This window comes from Homo sapiens, chromosome 3, assembly GCF_000001405.40.
Source record: "Homo sapiens chromosome 3, GRCh38.p14 Primary Assembly".
Lineage (NCBI taxonomy): Eukaryota > Metazoa > Chordata > Mammalia > Primates > Hominidae > Homo > Homo sapiens.
Genome location: NC_000003.12, coordinates 63986956 through 64003988, shown reverse-complemented (window position 1 = coordinate 64003988; position 17033 = coordinate 63986956). Strand labels below are relative to the sequence as shown.

General features: G+C 42.6%; 1 protein-coding gene across 5 annotated transcripts in view, besides 1 other annotated feature; it reads right to left on the bottom strand.

Annotated features, from left to right (window-relative positions):
* The window catches only part of ATXN7 (ataxin 7), a 140319-nt gene continuing 123812 nt past the window's right edge, over positions 527–17033 (bottom strand). For 4 of the 5 annotated variants that reach the window (NM_001377405.1, NM_000333.4, NM_001377406.1 and 1 more), the window contains 5 exons: positions 15665–15930; positions 13615–13813; positions 13130–13251; positions 7506–8484; positions 527–4539 (listed from right to left, as the gene is read on the bottom strand). In NM_001377405.1, coding sequence (NP_001364334.1) covers positions 4522–4539; positions 7506–8484; positions 13130–13251; positions 13615–13813; positions 15665–15930 — 1584 coding nt within the window. In that variant the 3' untranslated portion in view covers positions 527–4521. Of the gene's footprint in view, positions 4540–6301; positions 6369–7505; positions 8485–13129; positions 13252–13614; positions 13814–15664; positions 15931–17033 lie in introns of all 5 variants that reach the window. The other variant, NM_001177387.1, reaches the window with a different exon arrangement.
* Positions 3044–3545: an enhancer, noted in NCBI's record as "NANOG hESC enhancer chr3:63986120-63986621 (GRCh37/hg19 assembly coordinates)". NCBI's record gives its function as "activates a minimal SCP1, AML or CMV promoter by ChIP-STARR-seq in primed H9 embryonic stem cells {active_cell/tissue: H9 hESC(primed)}" and the evidence as "EXISTENCE:reporter gene assay evidence [ECO:0000049][PMID:30033119]".

Sequence of the window (17033 nt, the reverse complement as noted above, 5' to 3'; positions counted from 1 at the left end):
TATGCTGTGTTCCAAATAATACTAAAATGCACTTGTATTGCCAGTAAGGGAGGTATGTAAAAGAAAGGAAGAGATTAGACCGGGTCTGGATAAAAAGCTTATCTTAAACCAAAACTACATGTCATCAAATTTGCACCTAAGTACAAATAGAATGTGTTTCTCAATCCATCAACTCCCTCGTTTCTTTCACAAACATGCAAGGCCAGAATACAGTAATGTTCACTGTTTACACAGTTACTAATTTATCCAAAGCAAAGCTTTGTGCCCCCAGATGGAAACATCCCCAGGCCTTAGAAGTATTTAGCTTATATAAGAGGAAGGCTAAATTGAAGGGGCTTCACAAGGGTGTTCCATGCCAAAAGTGATGAAAAGTCAGAGTAGACTGAAAGGGTTTAGTATCACAACGAGGCAGAAACGTACAATATTTCATGCAGCCAACCTTATTTATTGAGAAGTCCTAATTTTATTGCCCGTTTAGTAACATGTTTGTTCCACAAGCTAATTTCTTATAAAGCAAAGCACAACCTTTTCTTATAAATAGTATAAATTATTTTATTTACAGAAACTTGTTACAAAACAAATAGACTATATATTTCTTCTCTTTTAAATATCCAAAGTAATTTTCTATCCCTTGACATTTGTTCATGTTCTATACAGCAGCCAACACAAAGTCCAGCTGAGATGCTCTTGATTATGTGTACAAATTATCAAACTATTCACACGTTTTTAACACAGGAGATTGCTTTTATAACCAAGCTCAAAAAAAAAAAAAAAAAAAAAAAAGCAAAATGCTTTCAAGGCCCTACATTCACACTGACAGTATGTAGTGCTCATTTAAATTATCTGAAAATGTAAAATGTTTTGCACAAAATGTAAAAGTGATTATTTTCTGCTAAACAAACTTTTAAGAATATTTTTTCAAAGCCCAATCGCCCCAAACCCCCTGGACAGAATGAGCGACATTAAGAAATTCCTTGGCAACAGAACTCTTGCAGGAAGACAGCTGCCCTTATAAGTTACATTTTTCAAATTATACATTTTTTTCAATGTTCTCAGAGGTACTTCTTTGTATTATATTTTTGGAATACAAAATATTTTAAATATTTTAAATTGTATTTCATGAGTGAATAACAAAACGGACACATCGTGTAAGTTGCTGGCTGACAAAAAGATCTGTAACCCTTGGTGCCACCAGGCAATCCATCACCAATTGAATTACTATGAACCAAGAGGTCTTAATTTTAAAATACCTTATAAAATTACCAGCATTGGTGGTTTTCAACTCCGCCCCTAAAATTTTAGAAACAATATTTAGGTGGAAAAAGCAAACTCCAAAAGTTCAACTGAACATTCAAGTCTTTTTAAAGAGATTCTGTCTAAGCTTAAAACTAGTTTCAGGCACTTTCAGTTTTTTCCATTAGTTTTAAACCACATCACATAGTAACATACATGTGCTGAGTATACACACACACGCACAGGCACACACACACGCAGTCACATACTCCCACACATAAAATACTAACAAAAGAAAAGCAGTGTGTCACTTAGTTACATGTAGTCTATCGGGAAACCAGGCAACCAGGAAGAAGCAATGCCCACTTCATCTGTATGAATCCACTCCCGAGACACTAAAAGGGACAAAGACTTTTCACAGAACAGAGGCATCCCTTAAAACTGTAAAGGAGGCAGGTTCTAGAACTATTGGCTTGGCAGTGAACCACTTCAAATTATAAAAAGGTATTTACTTTTATTAATTAATAAATAAATACTAGATGATCTCAATTGTACCAAAACAGGATATCAGAAAAAAAGACCTGTGCAAAAATACATATTTAAATATGTACAATTCATTTTTAACAAAATATGTCTTCTGAAATAGGGATACTTCCATATTTATAATAGAACAAGAAATTCCAAAATAAAGATACAAAAGTAGGTTTTGTATAATTCTTTGTTCATCATTGCAGCACTTTTTTTTTTTTTTTGTAGGTTAAGAAAACTGCAGGAGTTGTCATGAAATTCTATTGGAAAGAATATAAAAATTATCTTGGTTTTAAATTGATACCAAAGTCTGTCTAGAAACAACCCAACCACTGCAAATTTGGTTTTTGCAAGTTAATTTAATTCAAAAAAATACTTGTACTCCCGTGTTTTAAATGGTCTTAATTATTCATCACCATAAAAAGTAGTTTAGGAGAAAATAAAATATTTGAACAACAGTCTAAAATTTAATAGCACTGTTTAGAATAGGTCTGTTTGTGGCAGACAGAATCCAAAATGGCTAATTTCCTAATCCCGATGCTCTGTGTATTACCGGGAGAAATAATGAAATTCATTTAAAACCTCAGTCTAAGAAATCAAATGTTCAATACTTGCTAATCTAAATATCTACATTAGTCTGAATCAACTTGTTATTGTGGATCCTATTCACATCTTTCGGAACAACATGATCGATCTGTAAATTCCATTGCTAAAGGCAACTTTATTTATAACCATCAAGTCCTCTTGGCTCTGAAAATAAATTCTACCCATACCCCATTGCACTTGTCACCAAGGAATCAACTAGGTACGTTCTGATTCCCTCTCACCTCTCTCTTCCCCGACTGGGATGGAAACCAGACTGATTTCTCCCAACTATGCCAAACTGGCCCATCCATGCCCTCTCCTTACTAAGCTCTCCTGTAGTATCATTTTAAAAACATTTACTGATTGATTGCATAATAATTGAACAAGATACTGTTCTCTCCTTCCTTTAAAAAAATCAGTATTTTACATCAATTTATAGCTAAAGTATCTGCATAAAGTTTTTGTTTTCTTACATAATAAGAATAATTCTGTAGCAATTCACATTATTAGGCTGGTAACCAAGTTTATTCATTCTACCTGTTGTTGACTTGAAATTCCCTGAAACTGAAGTTTGAAACCCAAGAACTGTAGGAAAAAAAGAATGTACTGACTGGCTCTCATCAGGCCCTGGCCAGGGCAACGATCAGCGCCTTGGAAATTTTACCCTGTGTTCGGCAACTTCGTGTGTTCTTCTAAGCAACAGTGCCTGTTACTCGTGTCAGGAGCCTGTAGTGGTGGAAGCACCCATTTAAAGGCTCCGGCTCGTCCCGGAATTCAATGACACCTTCTCCAAGCAATGCTGTTTTAACATATTAAGGTCTTTCTTTAGGGGTGGGGGGTGGGGTACTAGAAAAAATATCCTAGAGGGCTCCAAAACTCTCAGGAAGATGGCTGGTATAATCCCAAGAAAGGAGGGTGTGTGTCAGGGCAATCCTATACATGCATCACAAAAGACCTTCAGGTCAGGACTTACATTCTCTCCAACTCCCTTTCCTTGGTGTCTGCTCTCGTCCCCAACCACATCCAAATAAACATCTGAAGTGGCATGAAGGGGAGTGCATACAAAAACACACAATGCCAGAAGTGCTTGAAGCAGAAATCTACACTTAGTCCCAGGACAGTATCCAAAGAGAAAAACAAGGGTAATGTAGAGAGTGCCTTGGAAACATTTAAGTGTATCTAATAATGTCACTTTAAAAGGTGACTTTTAAAAATAGACCAGGTAGGACAACCAACCCAATCTGCCATACTGTTTACTATGAAAACTTAAAAGGATTAAGAAAATTTCATCTCTTTGGAAATCTTGAAAAAAGTTTTTTCTCCCTATAGTGATTTTAACTTCCTCACTCCCACCCTCCCCCGACCCAATTTGGCCTTCCTTTCTCAAAACTAGCTTGCATTTTCTTTCTTCTTAAAAAAAAAAATCACACAGAATTGCTTTTGTATCATGAAAAGTAAGCCTCCAAAATGATTTATACTTGCTGTCTGGGCATCAAAAATTTCAAACCAGTTTGTAAGTTAGAAACTTCTGACAGCTTCTTTTCCCAAATTACTCTCAAAAGGCTGGGCTATTTTGTCATGGTGTCTTGGGCTAACATCTATATTTCATTCCTGGAACATTGCTATCAAAATCTAAAGCCTAATTCCCTTCTTCAGAGGGTTGCTCGGGATGCAGCCCTGTGTTCTCTGGAAGGTTTCTGGTCTCCAGTTAAGGTGCCTAACTGCTGGAGAGTGACCTACAGATGACAGTGTTAAAAAAAAATGGTAGTAAAAGGAAGGAGGGAGAAAGGTCTACAGTAACGCTCTTGCCAAAACATTCTTTTGCCCAGCCAATCTACTTGAAGAGTGGCTCTGTGATATACTGCAAGTTAAAAAACAAAACAAAAACAAAAACTTCTCACAGATTGGTAGCAAGCAGTTCAGACCACTTTAACACTGATAAAAGCAATTCGGTGGCTGAACTTGATCCAGTGTCCTTTATGAGTACTCACTGCTAGAGACATAGCTTCAGGGAAATCCTCGTTAAAACAACAGCCCGGCAGGTTTCTACCCTTGAGGCCCACAGGAGGTTGGGAAAACAGACTCAAAGGCATCGTGGAGTCCAGAGTGCTGAGTGGAGGTGTAACTTGTCCTCAAAAGTGTCCGCATTATTCCTCCCCGTGCTATTTTCAGCTGTCAGGGACGTGCCTTTGGCTTTCAAAAAAGAGGGGGTGGGGAAATAATGAAATGGTAAGTAAGCGTTTGTACACTGCACTCTATTGATTCTAAACAAGAATATTCCAAAGGCTGCACGCTACTAAAGTCTCCATTGACTGAGTGACACCAGGAACAGTCAGCTATAGATTTTGTTCTTAGCTTTCAAATGCCTTCACTACTACTGGGCACAATCATTGCAAAGATTCACTTCTAGCCAACTGGCTAGAAGAGTTGCAGGCCTGGGTTTCTAACTTAGAGAAAAGGCTCTTATGTTTGCCTTTTGGTTTTATTTACTGATTTTGTGTCCTTGAAGGTATTCCAGTGCTTTTGTGTCCTTGAAGGTATTCCAGGTTGTTAACTGAGAAGGGAACAAGGTCAAGGGCTAGCACACACAGGTGTGACAGTTCGCACTCAAGGCAGTGCCCATGCTGGGGAGGAGGAAACTCTGGCATTCACAGTGGGCTTTTACATCTTTGGTGGCACAGGCCATGAACAGACTCTTGGGGGTGCCTACCCAACCCCATCATCTCCTAGGCTTCCCAGCATGTCCCACTCTTCATCCCCTTGTTTAGAAAACTTCAACTAGCCCAGTTATTTTTGTTTTAATGGCAGCTCCACAAGGAACAGCAAGTAGAGGTCCCTACTTTTGTAACAGCAGCATTCTTTAAAGCATTTTGGGGTCACGAGTCCCTTTGAGATTCTTATGAAAGCTATACGATAAATGAACAAAGACATAAAAATGTGCAATACTTCTTGGGGTTCAATGATCCTTTGATCTCTAAGCAAGCACCCCTGCTCTTGCCCCAGGATTTGTGTAGCATAATAAAAAGTATTCCTCTGCACAGAGAAAATCTCTCTCAAACACAAACTTAAGTGGAAACTGATTTTAACTGATTTTAAGGAAAAAGCCCAAAGTTAGGCTGTCTGTGTTGTTCTAGTAAGACATAGTGCCACTACATGGTAAAAATCAAAGGTGGCAAAATGGCAGGTCATGAGCCAAAGATGGCCCACAGATACATAGGCTATACCAGATTTAAGAAGAGAAAAAAAAGTGTGTGTGTATACGTGTGTGTATACATATATATATACACACACACATATATCTCAACTAAATTTCACATGCAAGTCCAGATCTGCAGCCTCTCTTTAAAACTGGTAACAAATGTCTGGAAGCAGCTGCTCCATGTCCCCCCAATTTCTAGTAGGCACTGTCAATCTCTGCTGTGCCCCACCTGGCCCCCCCCCCTTCTGTCCTTTTTGTTACTTGTGGGCATTAAGATCTACACTCCTGTCTAAATGAAGACAGTGTGCTCACTAATACAGATGTGAGATGGACATTACAGCACAATGGAATGCCCCTTCCGTGGGGATCATGTCTCTCTCAAAGACGGTGCGTTGAAGAATCGGCACACCATGTCTTCTGTGTTTATATTGGACTGTTATGCTTATAAACTGTAATGAGTAACTACAAACCAAGAAGGAAAAGCACACTTCTCATTTGTCCAGGAATCCCATGATCAGAATGCCAAACAACATATAATAACCCATAATGCATGCAGCTAGTTAAATTCACAAATATTTTCCCCATACCTTTGGCAATGGGTGTTAATTCACCCAAATATTAGAGGAAAATTATATCACACTACGAAAATACTAAGAAACTTCTTGGTATTTTCTGAAAAAGTCCTAACCCGGCTGGCATTTGAGTTAAGTTCTGAAGACGAGGAAGGGGAAAAAAAATCATGAAAAAGAGCCTCACATTTTAAGTCAGGGCTCTGGGGTGATGTTGCTGAAATTCCTGTTCGTAAGCAAGGTGAGGAGATATCCTGATGAATAAAATAACAAGATGAGAGATGAGCTGGAAGTTAGAGCAAAGGAAGCTGGAAGAAACAGCTACAGGTGAGGTCAGTAACAGGCAGAAGAGCTGGGACGAGACAAAAATACAGCCTAAGAGAGAAAGTCATGGTTAATTATGAATCCCACAACCACTTAGCCACTTCTCTACTGATGGGTTCATATGCAGACTTCTTTTTAACTATGAGCTTGGAATGAGATTTCAGTCTTCTGCTATGCCCATACTGAATCCTGTTTTCCTGCCTCCCTCAAAAACGGGAAGAGAAAATATGGGGTGAGATTTAACCAGAATATCTGAAATTCTTTTGAGAGGGAAAAATAATAAATGCTCTTTTTTTTTTGAGACATAGTCTCATAGGCCGGATGGAGTGCAGTGGCGCGATCTTGGCTCACTGCAACTTCCGCCTCCCGTGTTCAAGCAGTTCTCCTGCCTCCACCTCCTGAGTAGCTGGGATTACAGGCGTGCACCACCACACCCAGCTAATTTTCGTATTTTTAGTAGAGACGGGGGTTTTACCATGTTGGCCAGGCTGGTCTTGAACTCCTGACCTCAAGTGATCTACCTGCTTCAGCTTCCCAAAGTGCTGGGATTATAGGCGTGAGCCGCTGCACCCAGCCTCATTTTAAATCTTAAATCACCCCTTTCTAGATCAGTTTGATTTTAGCGCAGCTTTCCTCAGCGGAACATACTAAAGAACCACTATCCAGGAAACAATGCCTGCTTCCTTCCTTAAAGCCTCGAATGGCACACACTTCACAGCACTGGGATAACACATTACTGGCTATTTCATAAAGGGGCTACCCTCCAATTATGATTTTGCTGTCACAACCGATGCTTTCTGCAGCTCTACTAAAAATGCATTACTGTAGTTTCTTTACTGAAGAACATCTTCCAAAGGCACCAGAAATTCTGGCAGAAGAGCCTGTTTTACCTTCATACGGCCGTGAACCTTTTTTTTTTTTTTTTTTTTTTTTAAGAAGACACCATGAAGCTGAATATCTGTTTACAAACCAACCAACCAACCCAACCAAACACATTTCTGAGCTGACAAAAGATCTTAAGGGAGAAGAAATGGGCATTCCCATGGGGCTCACAGTCCATTTCCTACCTGATGAAGGAGGGAACTGTTCATCAGTCCTTGTGCCCCTGGGATGGTGCCTGTGTGTTTCATGTGGACATTGTTCACGGCTGGCACTTTGGCAACCTTTGTGGGTTTGCTGCTGCTGTTGTTGATGCTGCTCGAGCTGGGTGAGCACTTTCTTTTCTTTCCTATGAGTTTGTCTAGAGGAGTGTGTGAGTGGGAAAAACTGCCGTGGGAGTTGACAGGCAGTTCATTGGACTGGTGAATGAATGGCCCAAGAGAAAGAGTAGAATCACTGCTGTTCACCATCACACTCATCCTCTTGATGGATTCAGCAGGGCTCCCGGTGGGGGGGCCCCTCCCTGACTGGTCATGCCGGACGTTCACCGCATTTGCTTTATTCGTCACACAGTTGAGGCCGATGCTATGGGAAGATGTTACCGTTGAGGGGTAGGGAGGCCCAGAGTGAGCCACACAGTTTTTCCTAAAAGACTCCATGGAATGAGAAGAAGAGGAGGAGGAGGAAGAGGAGGAGGAAGAGTGAACCAACAGTGGGGAACTGTTTTTGCGTTTCTTTCCTGAGCCGCCACTGGTACTGCTACTGGCATTTTGACAGTTAGTGCTGTTACCAGAAGACTCCTTGGGCCTCAAAGATTTGCTGGATTTCAATTTCTGAGGTTTCCTGGACATGGGGGAGGAAGGAACCGAGGAAAGGCCAGAGGGCGTGGAAGGGGATGAGGATGAAGAGGACACTTGTCTGGATTGCATACTGCACACAGGATCCATCGCCCCTGAAGCAGCAGGCTGTGCATTTAGTGTGGTTCCATGAGCTGGTACCGATTTGCTATTTGGGGAGATGCAGGTAGATGAGAGCAGGACTGGGGATGTAGAGACGGTGGCTGCTGCCAGATAGCTGACTCCACATTGTGATGTCGGCACAGAGTTTGTCCGGTGAGGAATACGTGTGGAGATGGGTGAGGTGGTACTGGGCACTGGTGGGATTTTCCTGAAAAAAATTAGAGGACAGTGAATGACACTGACCACAGCCATTCACAGAGACTTTCAGATGGCACCACCCTCTTTGCTTGTGACAAAGAGAAACCATCCACATCAAAGCAATCACTCTGAACTACAAAGCCAATCCTGTCACCTCTCTCCTTCAAATTCTTTAATGCCTTCCTGGTACAGTTCTTACAGAACTGTATGTGTGCAACTCCCCGCTGCTATTGCCCCAGCCTCTAGCTCCACCTCCCACCCCCAACGCCCCCGTTCCCTGCTTCCAGCCACTGTACTTCCTTATATTCTGAGAAAATGCCATGACCCAATACCCCAGCTTCTGCTCATCCTTTAAGTGTCGGATTGCTAATCACCAAATCCTCTGCAGAGAGAGTCATCCCCAGCTTAATTACCGTTGTGGTCCTAGTGTTCAGCACAGTGCAGGAAACACAGAAGGCACTGAATAAATGTCGAGAGAAGTCAGGAATGAATGAGAGAAAAGGAAGGGTGCAGCTAATTAACAGCAACTGCTAGGTCATAACTATTGGCCTGAACAAGGGAATAAAGCCCCACAGTATCAAGGGATATTCAGCATGGTGTTGTAACAATGGATTCTGTTAAGAATGTGTGGGCAAGGTATTTATTAGGGGATGCGGAAACCATCTAAATTCAAACCAGGGAGGGTCTCCTTTTATTTTAGCTCTGAATCTTAAATGTGACAGTAACAAAATTTCAAAAACTTCTTTGGCAGAATTTAAACCGAGGTGGCAGAAGACAAAAAGGCCTGACTGGAAGGCAAGTGCCAGGATTGCCTTGATCCTGACTTAAGGGGTAGCCCTGGCTGACCTGGCCACTACCCCAGTGAGAGAGCTGGCCTAGACTGCTGCCCAGGTGATTTCCAGATGCTTTTAAAGACTACTGTTATTAATAAAATGAATTAATGACTGCAAGTATTTGCAAATGCTTTAAAAATCCCATTCGGCCAGGCGCAGTGGCTCACAACTGTAATCCCAGCACTTTGGGAGGCTGAGGCTGGTGGATCACTTGAGGTCAGGAGTTTGAGACCAGCCTGGCCAACATGGTGAAACCCCATCTCTACTAAAAATACAAAAATTAGCCGGGCATGGTGGTGTGCACCTGTAATCCCAGCTACTTAGAAGGCTGAGGCAGGAGAATCGCTTGAACCGGGGAGGTGGAGGTCACAGTGAGCTGAAATCACACTACTGCACTCCAGCCTCGGTGACTGAGTGAGGCCCTGTTTCAAAAACAAAACAAAACAAACAAAAAAACCCAAAACCCCATTCAAGGGTACAGCTCTGGCCTGATGTTAGTGCTTCTCAACTCCAGCTGTTGCACATTACAGTCACCTGTGGAGCTTAAGCCACATCCATAACGATTACACCAGCGTCTCTGCGGGGAGTGGGGACAGACATCAGTCATTTCTAAATCTTTCCAGGGGATTCTAATGTGGAGCCAAGATTGAGAGGCTAGGCTCTCTCTCCCCGCACTACTCATAGAGGAGGGTGGCAGGCAGTGTCATTAATTACCTGAGAGGTTGGTTAGGAAAACTGAGTTCCTGGGCCCCACCCTAGAATGATGCATCAGAAGCTGCATGGCAACAAGGCCCCTGGGTGATTCTGGAGCATTCAGAAGCCCTGCTCTAAATGAAGTCCAGGCCCTACTGCTCACTGGGAGCAGTGGCTTCTCATGACCACCAGGTGGCTCAGGAAGCCAGGGCCTAAAGACCAGGCTGCCTGGAACCAAATCTCGAGGAAAGGAAAAGCCTTCTAGAGCAGGGAAGGATGTGGATCTCTCCGGGAGGCAATCACAAGTTCCTCTTAGAAAAGCTCTTTTAAGTAGTTAATTACTCTTTTGTGTATAAAGAGGCAAAGTAACAATATGTACTCATACTGACTTGTGTTTGCATAAATAAACTATGTAGAGATACATAAAAAATAATAAAAATGTCTGTGGGGGCTAGGTGGAAAACAAGCATGTAGGAGACAGGAGGACTCGGTTTTCAATGTATGCCTCTTTATACTCGTTTTTCTTTTTTTTTTTTTGAGACGGAGTCTCGCTCTGTCACCCCCAGGCTGGAGTGCAGTGGCGCGATCTCGGCTCACTGCAAGCTCTGCCTCCCGGGTTCACCCCATTCTCCTGCCTCAGCCTTGGTTTTCCTTTTTTAAGCCCAGTGATTGTATTACCATTTCAAAAAGTAAAAAAAAAAAAAAAAAAAAAATACACCAACAAAAATCTTTGAAAACCATCCCAGCCCCTTCTTAGGGAATATGGGATACTGGTCCCAAATCAACAGAGGACAAGTAGTTCACAGAAATCATAGAAGGTGGGCAGTGGCCTTTCAGGTTATGGCCATGCTGCAGAGAAAGTGCTGGTCTAATTTCACCACTGGCCTGAGACTCCACAAACTGAAGTTTACTCATTTCATACTCAATTCCCACCTCACTTACCTTCAATTTTACCACAATAACCCTGTAAGGAAGGATTTTGGGCTGAGCCGGTAGGGTGGGACCTGGATCACTTTGAAAGTTTCCTTGAGGGCTTCAAAGATGCCAGGTGAGAATAGTTCTCTGGATGAGAAGTGCTGAGCTCCCCAGAGAAAATCTCAGGGGCTGCCTGAAAAGGCCGCCAGCACTCCTATGTTGGGAGGCAACATGCACCAAGTTCCCCTCTGCCCCAAGCCTATGTGTCAGCTCATTACTGAGCAACACGTCCCTTGTTGCTGTAGACTTTTTAAAAACCAATGGTCATGCTAATGGAAAGGGTTGGTTTCCTTCTCCCCGGAAGCAAGTAGGCAGCCTTCAGACAGAACAGAGTAGACAGCAGAGTCGACCTTATGATCTTACTTTTTAAAAAGTTCACATCAAGAGGAAAGTCTCACTATACAAGCCACTAGGAACTGAAACTATCTTTGCCCAAACTGTTGGTCATGAGCCACATACCAACATAATGTGGATAAAACATTCAGAAATCCATTCTAAACTCTTAGGAGTACATTAAACCCATAGTTTCATGAGCTCAGTGTGCTTTCCAACTCCCAATGGGTAGTCTGAAGAAATATGAAGTTGAGATTTCATGTATCTTAGGGAGTTCTGGTGTGGAAAAACCCCTGCAGAACCCCCAAACCCAGTCCCCTGATTCTGTGTCTAGCCAGGGACAATGTTCCTTCATAAAGAAGAACCTCTTATCCAGCAAGAACCAGAAAGAAATATGAAAAAGAAAAGCAGAGTAACAGTGCTCTGAATCTGGTGTTCTAAGGAAACGGATGTAAGTCCTGCTAATGATCATGGAGATGGTTCTTTGGGTTGCAGACAATCCAAGGCCTCCGACTAGCGTCTGACTTTATTAGGAAACCAAGGCAGGGAGTCAAATGAATGTACTGGCAGAGTCCATTTAAGGAGGCACTAGTAAATAATGCCCAAACAGAGGATCTGGGATGGCCTGGGGATTACTGGACAGTCACTTTAGCAAAGCTTACTATTCACCAAAGTCACTCCCACCGAATACTAGTTCTCCAAGATGTTCCCCTAAAAAAGGTTCCGAGGTGAAAAGAGCTTGGGACATGTTCCACATTATACATGACGTGACATTCCCTGCTTCAAGAGTTACAAAGCACAGTGCCCATTAAGGCTCTGACAAGTTCTGCAGTAAAAAACAGAACCTTTTTTTTTTTTTACAGGAAAGGCTGAGTTAAACCTTTTTGGCCATGGAACTCTTCTTCCACTTAAAATCCTGTTTGGGAAGCATTAGGTACATAATATCACACAAGGTGTCTTAAATTGCAAACTGGAGCACATGGCTCCTCTACCTAAAACCTTCAACACTGAAACAATTTCAGTGTCACCTGGCCCCTGCTGGTTTCTTGGACCTCATCCTTGTACTGTGCTCAATTTCTTGCTATTTCTTCAACAAACTGTCTTTTCTGACTCAAGACCTTGACACAGCTGCTTCCTTCTGCCCAGAACCCACTCCTCCCTACTGTCCCAGTGACTGCTGTTTCTCATCCATCCTTCTCAGTTCAAGGACTGCCTCTTTCTTCAGAGAGGCTTTCCCTGAATCCCTCTGGCCTCTGTATTTTCAGCTCTTTACTTGAAAACATGTTACCTCTAGGTTCAATTCCTGGCCCTACCACTAACTTGCTGCATGACACTGTATCTCAGTTTTGTCATCTATTAAAAAAACAAAACAAAAAAAAAACCAGGGGTGGGGGGAGGGTATAATCATGGTCACCTGACAGAGAATTGTGAATGTTAAGTATATTTAAGTTGTTTGGTGTATAGTTGGCTCTCACTAAGTCTTGCTGATTGTTATTGTTTCCATTCTGTCACTTAGGACAAGCTATCATCTCCTTATTCTTCTGTAGACTAGTTTTTTTCTCCCCTTACCCAATCCCAACTAGACTGTGAGCTCCATACATGTGGGAGTCCTTCTGCTTTGAATGCCAGCACCCACAACAATATGTAGTTGTGGGGTAAAGGGGTAAATGAATGAATGAATGACAAGGCACCTTCTTCTCAGGGCCAAAGGCCAGTTTTGTTTAGATAAGCATATCTTCATAACATCAGTCTCACAGGAAATAAAAGACAATGCAGCACTGTGTAAAGTCAGCTCCTCTCCCAAGAACAACAGGCACTCACTTCCATAGCTGTGCATTCAGATGCTTCTCCACCATGAGGTTGAGGGCGCAGCGAAGTCGATTCCACCTGGAGTCAAACACGTAATAGCCTCTTCCTATCTGCCGGCTCCCAAATGTGCAAAACTGCAAGAGAAAACATAGCCGCGTGCTTGCTGACTCCCACACTGGCATGCCCAGTCAGGGTTCTAGATCCTTCAGGAAAGGAGCTAATCAGGAAAGACAGAACTGCCTCTGAGTACCGGAGGCTGTGAAGCATGAGAGTGACAATGCCTAGCCCTGAGCGTCATGGAAGAGAAAGGGAAAAAAGCACGAGATGTCCCCCGTACAGAGTGTGTGCTGCCTCTGGGGCACCCTGTTTTGAACTTCTCTCACACCTTGACCGCGTCCCACACATACGGGCATGCCAAGATCCCTGGCGCGCCCCCCTGCAGTGCCCTGTCCATGCTGTGTGGGGAGGGTCAACGCGGGGGTGGACGTGGAACTTACAGATGCTGGCTGAGGATGATGACCTGAATAATGACAGTCCAGTTTTTCAACAGACTCTTCTTTGTCATCGCCTTCGCCCTCCTCACTGGATAACCGAGAAGCTGGCTCAGTGGCAGGCAGGGGAGGGTGTGGAGATTCATGGACTGGAGGAGGGTCAATGGGGGCACTCCCACCTTGCTGAGCAGGGCAGCCTGGAGGCCTTGGTGAGTAGAAAGTGCAGCACGGATCAGATCACACACCTGGGAATCAGCCACCTTAACTGAGATACAACAGTGTGTCCAAAACAACCTAGCAGAGGCCTGGGTTCCACCTCTAGCACTGGGGGAAAACAGATGCTGATCCAGGTGGCTTGGGAGTAAAGGAACCTCTCTCCTGAACTGCAGGATGTTAAGTTCAGCTGTTTGCCAGATACAATCAAGGTAACTTAGAACGAATCCTTTCTATTGCCATTTGGGTGGTTCAGATCCCTCTTCTATTCTCCCCCAAAGAAGGGGAAATACATGTGGAATTTAACAGAATTCTTTGATTCCTCTTCAAATTTCAACTGGATTTGGTTTACCTACACAATAAATGAAACATAGTTGTCCCTCGGTATCCATGGGGAATTGAGGCCAGGACCTCCTGGGGATAGCAAAATCTGCAAATCCACAAATGTACAAAGTGGCCTGATATAAAATGGTGTAGTATTTGCATATAACCTATGCGCATCCTCCCGTATACTTTAAATAATCTCTAGATTATTTTAGTACCTAATACAATGTAAATGCTATGTAATGTATTGTTTAGGGAATACTGAGACAAGAAAAAAAAAAAGCCTATACATGTTCAGTACGACACAATTTTTCTTTCCCCAAATAGTTTCAATCTGCAATTGGTGTAAACCACGGATGTGAAACCCATGGATACAGAGGGCTGACTGTAATTTGCAAAATGCTCTAAGATAACCTAGGAGAGACAGGAGGTGATACAAGAATAAGGTGGTATTACCACTTTATGTGGATAGCCTACAGCCTCTTACTCAAGGGCAGTAATGTATTTTTCCTACACCTACAATGGTCTCTGGAATTAAGCTTACATTTTTCTAGATGCAAAAACTTCAATGAGAAGATGACCAAAGAAAGGACTTGGGGAGGAAATCTCTGGCCAGGTCCTGACCACACTCTGAGGAGCCTCCTCTGATGGCTCCTCCAGCATACTGCACAGAAACCACAAAGCTCACGTTGGGACAGGCTCTAACAGGCACCTGGGTTTCCACGAGGGAGATGCTTCCACCTTTATGCAACCATTTTAAAGATCAGACATGTGAGGGTGAAATGGTAAGCAATAGCAGCCGAGGACTGGCACATTCCTCAGCAGAAGCTCTTGCTCCCAATAAATGAACGGCCAACACTGAAGCCCCTCTTTCTCTATGCCTTTCTCTTTCCCTTCCCTCTGGAAACTAGGTACAGTCTTTACTTCAACTTGGTTCAGTATGTAAGCACAAACACACACATATTCCACCATCACTGTCTCTGAGGTATGTGTATAAGTTCTCATTAAAACACTCTGATCCACTGTTTACTCTGCTACTAAAGTGCTAATACATGCTTGGGCCAAAGCCCCAAATGAATGAATGAAAACACATTGATAAACGGATGCTGTAAAAACTCAGGCTAAACGGCTTGTCCCTAGCAAGAATTCCCACTGCTATATAAAGACAAATGAAAGGGAAACTGCTGCCAAAGCCATGTGAAGAGTTCCTGTCACTAACCCGCAGGAAGGACCCAATTTCTGCCTGCTCAACAGAGTTGAGACACTTGATGTTCAGCAAGTATAGAGCAGATAACTCTAGCTTTATTTTGCTGCTTGCATTTACAACCAAGAGGAGCCCTGGTTGAAACTTACTGAACTCAACCTTTCCTTTTTTTTTTTCATAGTAAAACTCCTTAAAAAACTATCTCCACAGTGAGCCTGAGATATGTTTCTCAACAGCATGACCATACTGAAATTTTACAGTATCTGCAAGTCTCATCTCTGAAGGTGGGAGAAAGAGTTGGAGGGCCTGGCTTACCTTGGAAGACTGGGGGTGTGAGGTTTAGGTTTACTAGCTACAAAAGGCTTTGATTCGGAAGGAATCACTCCGTGAGGGTTTTGGTGCGGCTCCTGTGACGTTCTAGGAGGGGCGGGATGCGGGTCCCTGAGAGGCTGCGGTGGTTGCTGAGAGTCCGGATGGCGAATCAATTCCTTTTCCCTGGTTTTGTTTTTGTGCTCGGCTAATAACACATCAAATCGTTTTCTTCTACCCTGGACAGCCCTGCGCTGGGTTAAGGAATGTGTCTGTGGACCAAAAAAATACAGAAACTGAGGAATCTCATTAATAATTTTTGGTCTGCCTTATATCCCAAAACACCACTCCCAATAAATAAGCAATCTAGACCATAAGCATAGTGAAAGGCTACTCAGCATTTGATAAGCTAAAAACCTTAAGAGCCCATTATTTTCTCCCTAGCTAGACTAGAAGCATACGTTCTAGGCTCTAAATGCAGAAGAATCTGGAAATGTTATTTCCATCAGAAGAAAAAAGATATGTGAGCGGTGACACCTGGTATGTAACTAAGAGCAACCATTAGCGCTATATAACAAGTACTCATGTTTTGTGACACAACAGCAATTTGGTTTTGGGGGCTCTTATTGACTCCATTAGAAAAACCCTCTTTGGACCATTTAAAATTTTGAATGTTAATGTAAAGGGAAGAAACAATCATTCCATAAAACATGTATCAGAAAGTGTTCTTTTAGTAACTTCCACAGAATAAAAATTAAACACAATTGCGTCCCTCTATTCCAATGAAAATGCCATGCAAAAATAGAAAGTGGCCCAAAGCATTCTGCAGACAGACTGCCACAGCCAAGGAGCACTGGACAGAAGATGAGGCTGAGAAGAAATGCTATGAACAGGAAGGGAGACAAAGTAATCCCTATAGATAGACACTGGCTATGGAAATTAAGGAAATGGGATGGACAACACCCCTGGGTCTTCAGACAATGTCTAATTTCAGAATTAAGAAATGGATACACAGAGGAAAAAGAAAAGTCAAATTATGGCAGTGTTTGTCTTAAGGCAACCAATACACACACCTGTGGTTGAAGCAAATCGTATAAGAAAATGTGTCTGTAGTCCAAACGCATTTCATAGTTACTGGCATTAAAACAAAACAAAACAAATAAGCCTAATACTATTGCTAACAGAAGATAAAGTTGAATGTACAAGTGTGAACTGGTCAGAGTTGGGCAAATCTTATTGGCAGTTGAGTCCAATCACTCAAGTTAAACCTGACCATTCCATACTGCTGAGATCTCAGTCTGTAAAAATGCAAGGAGATGCTAATCCTGAGGAGTGGATGAGTTTACATGAGCTACAGTGGCCCCTAATCACATAT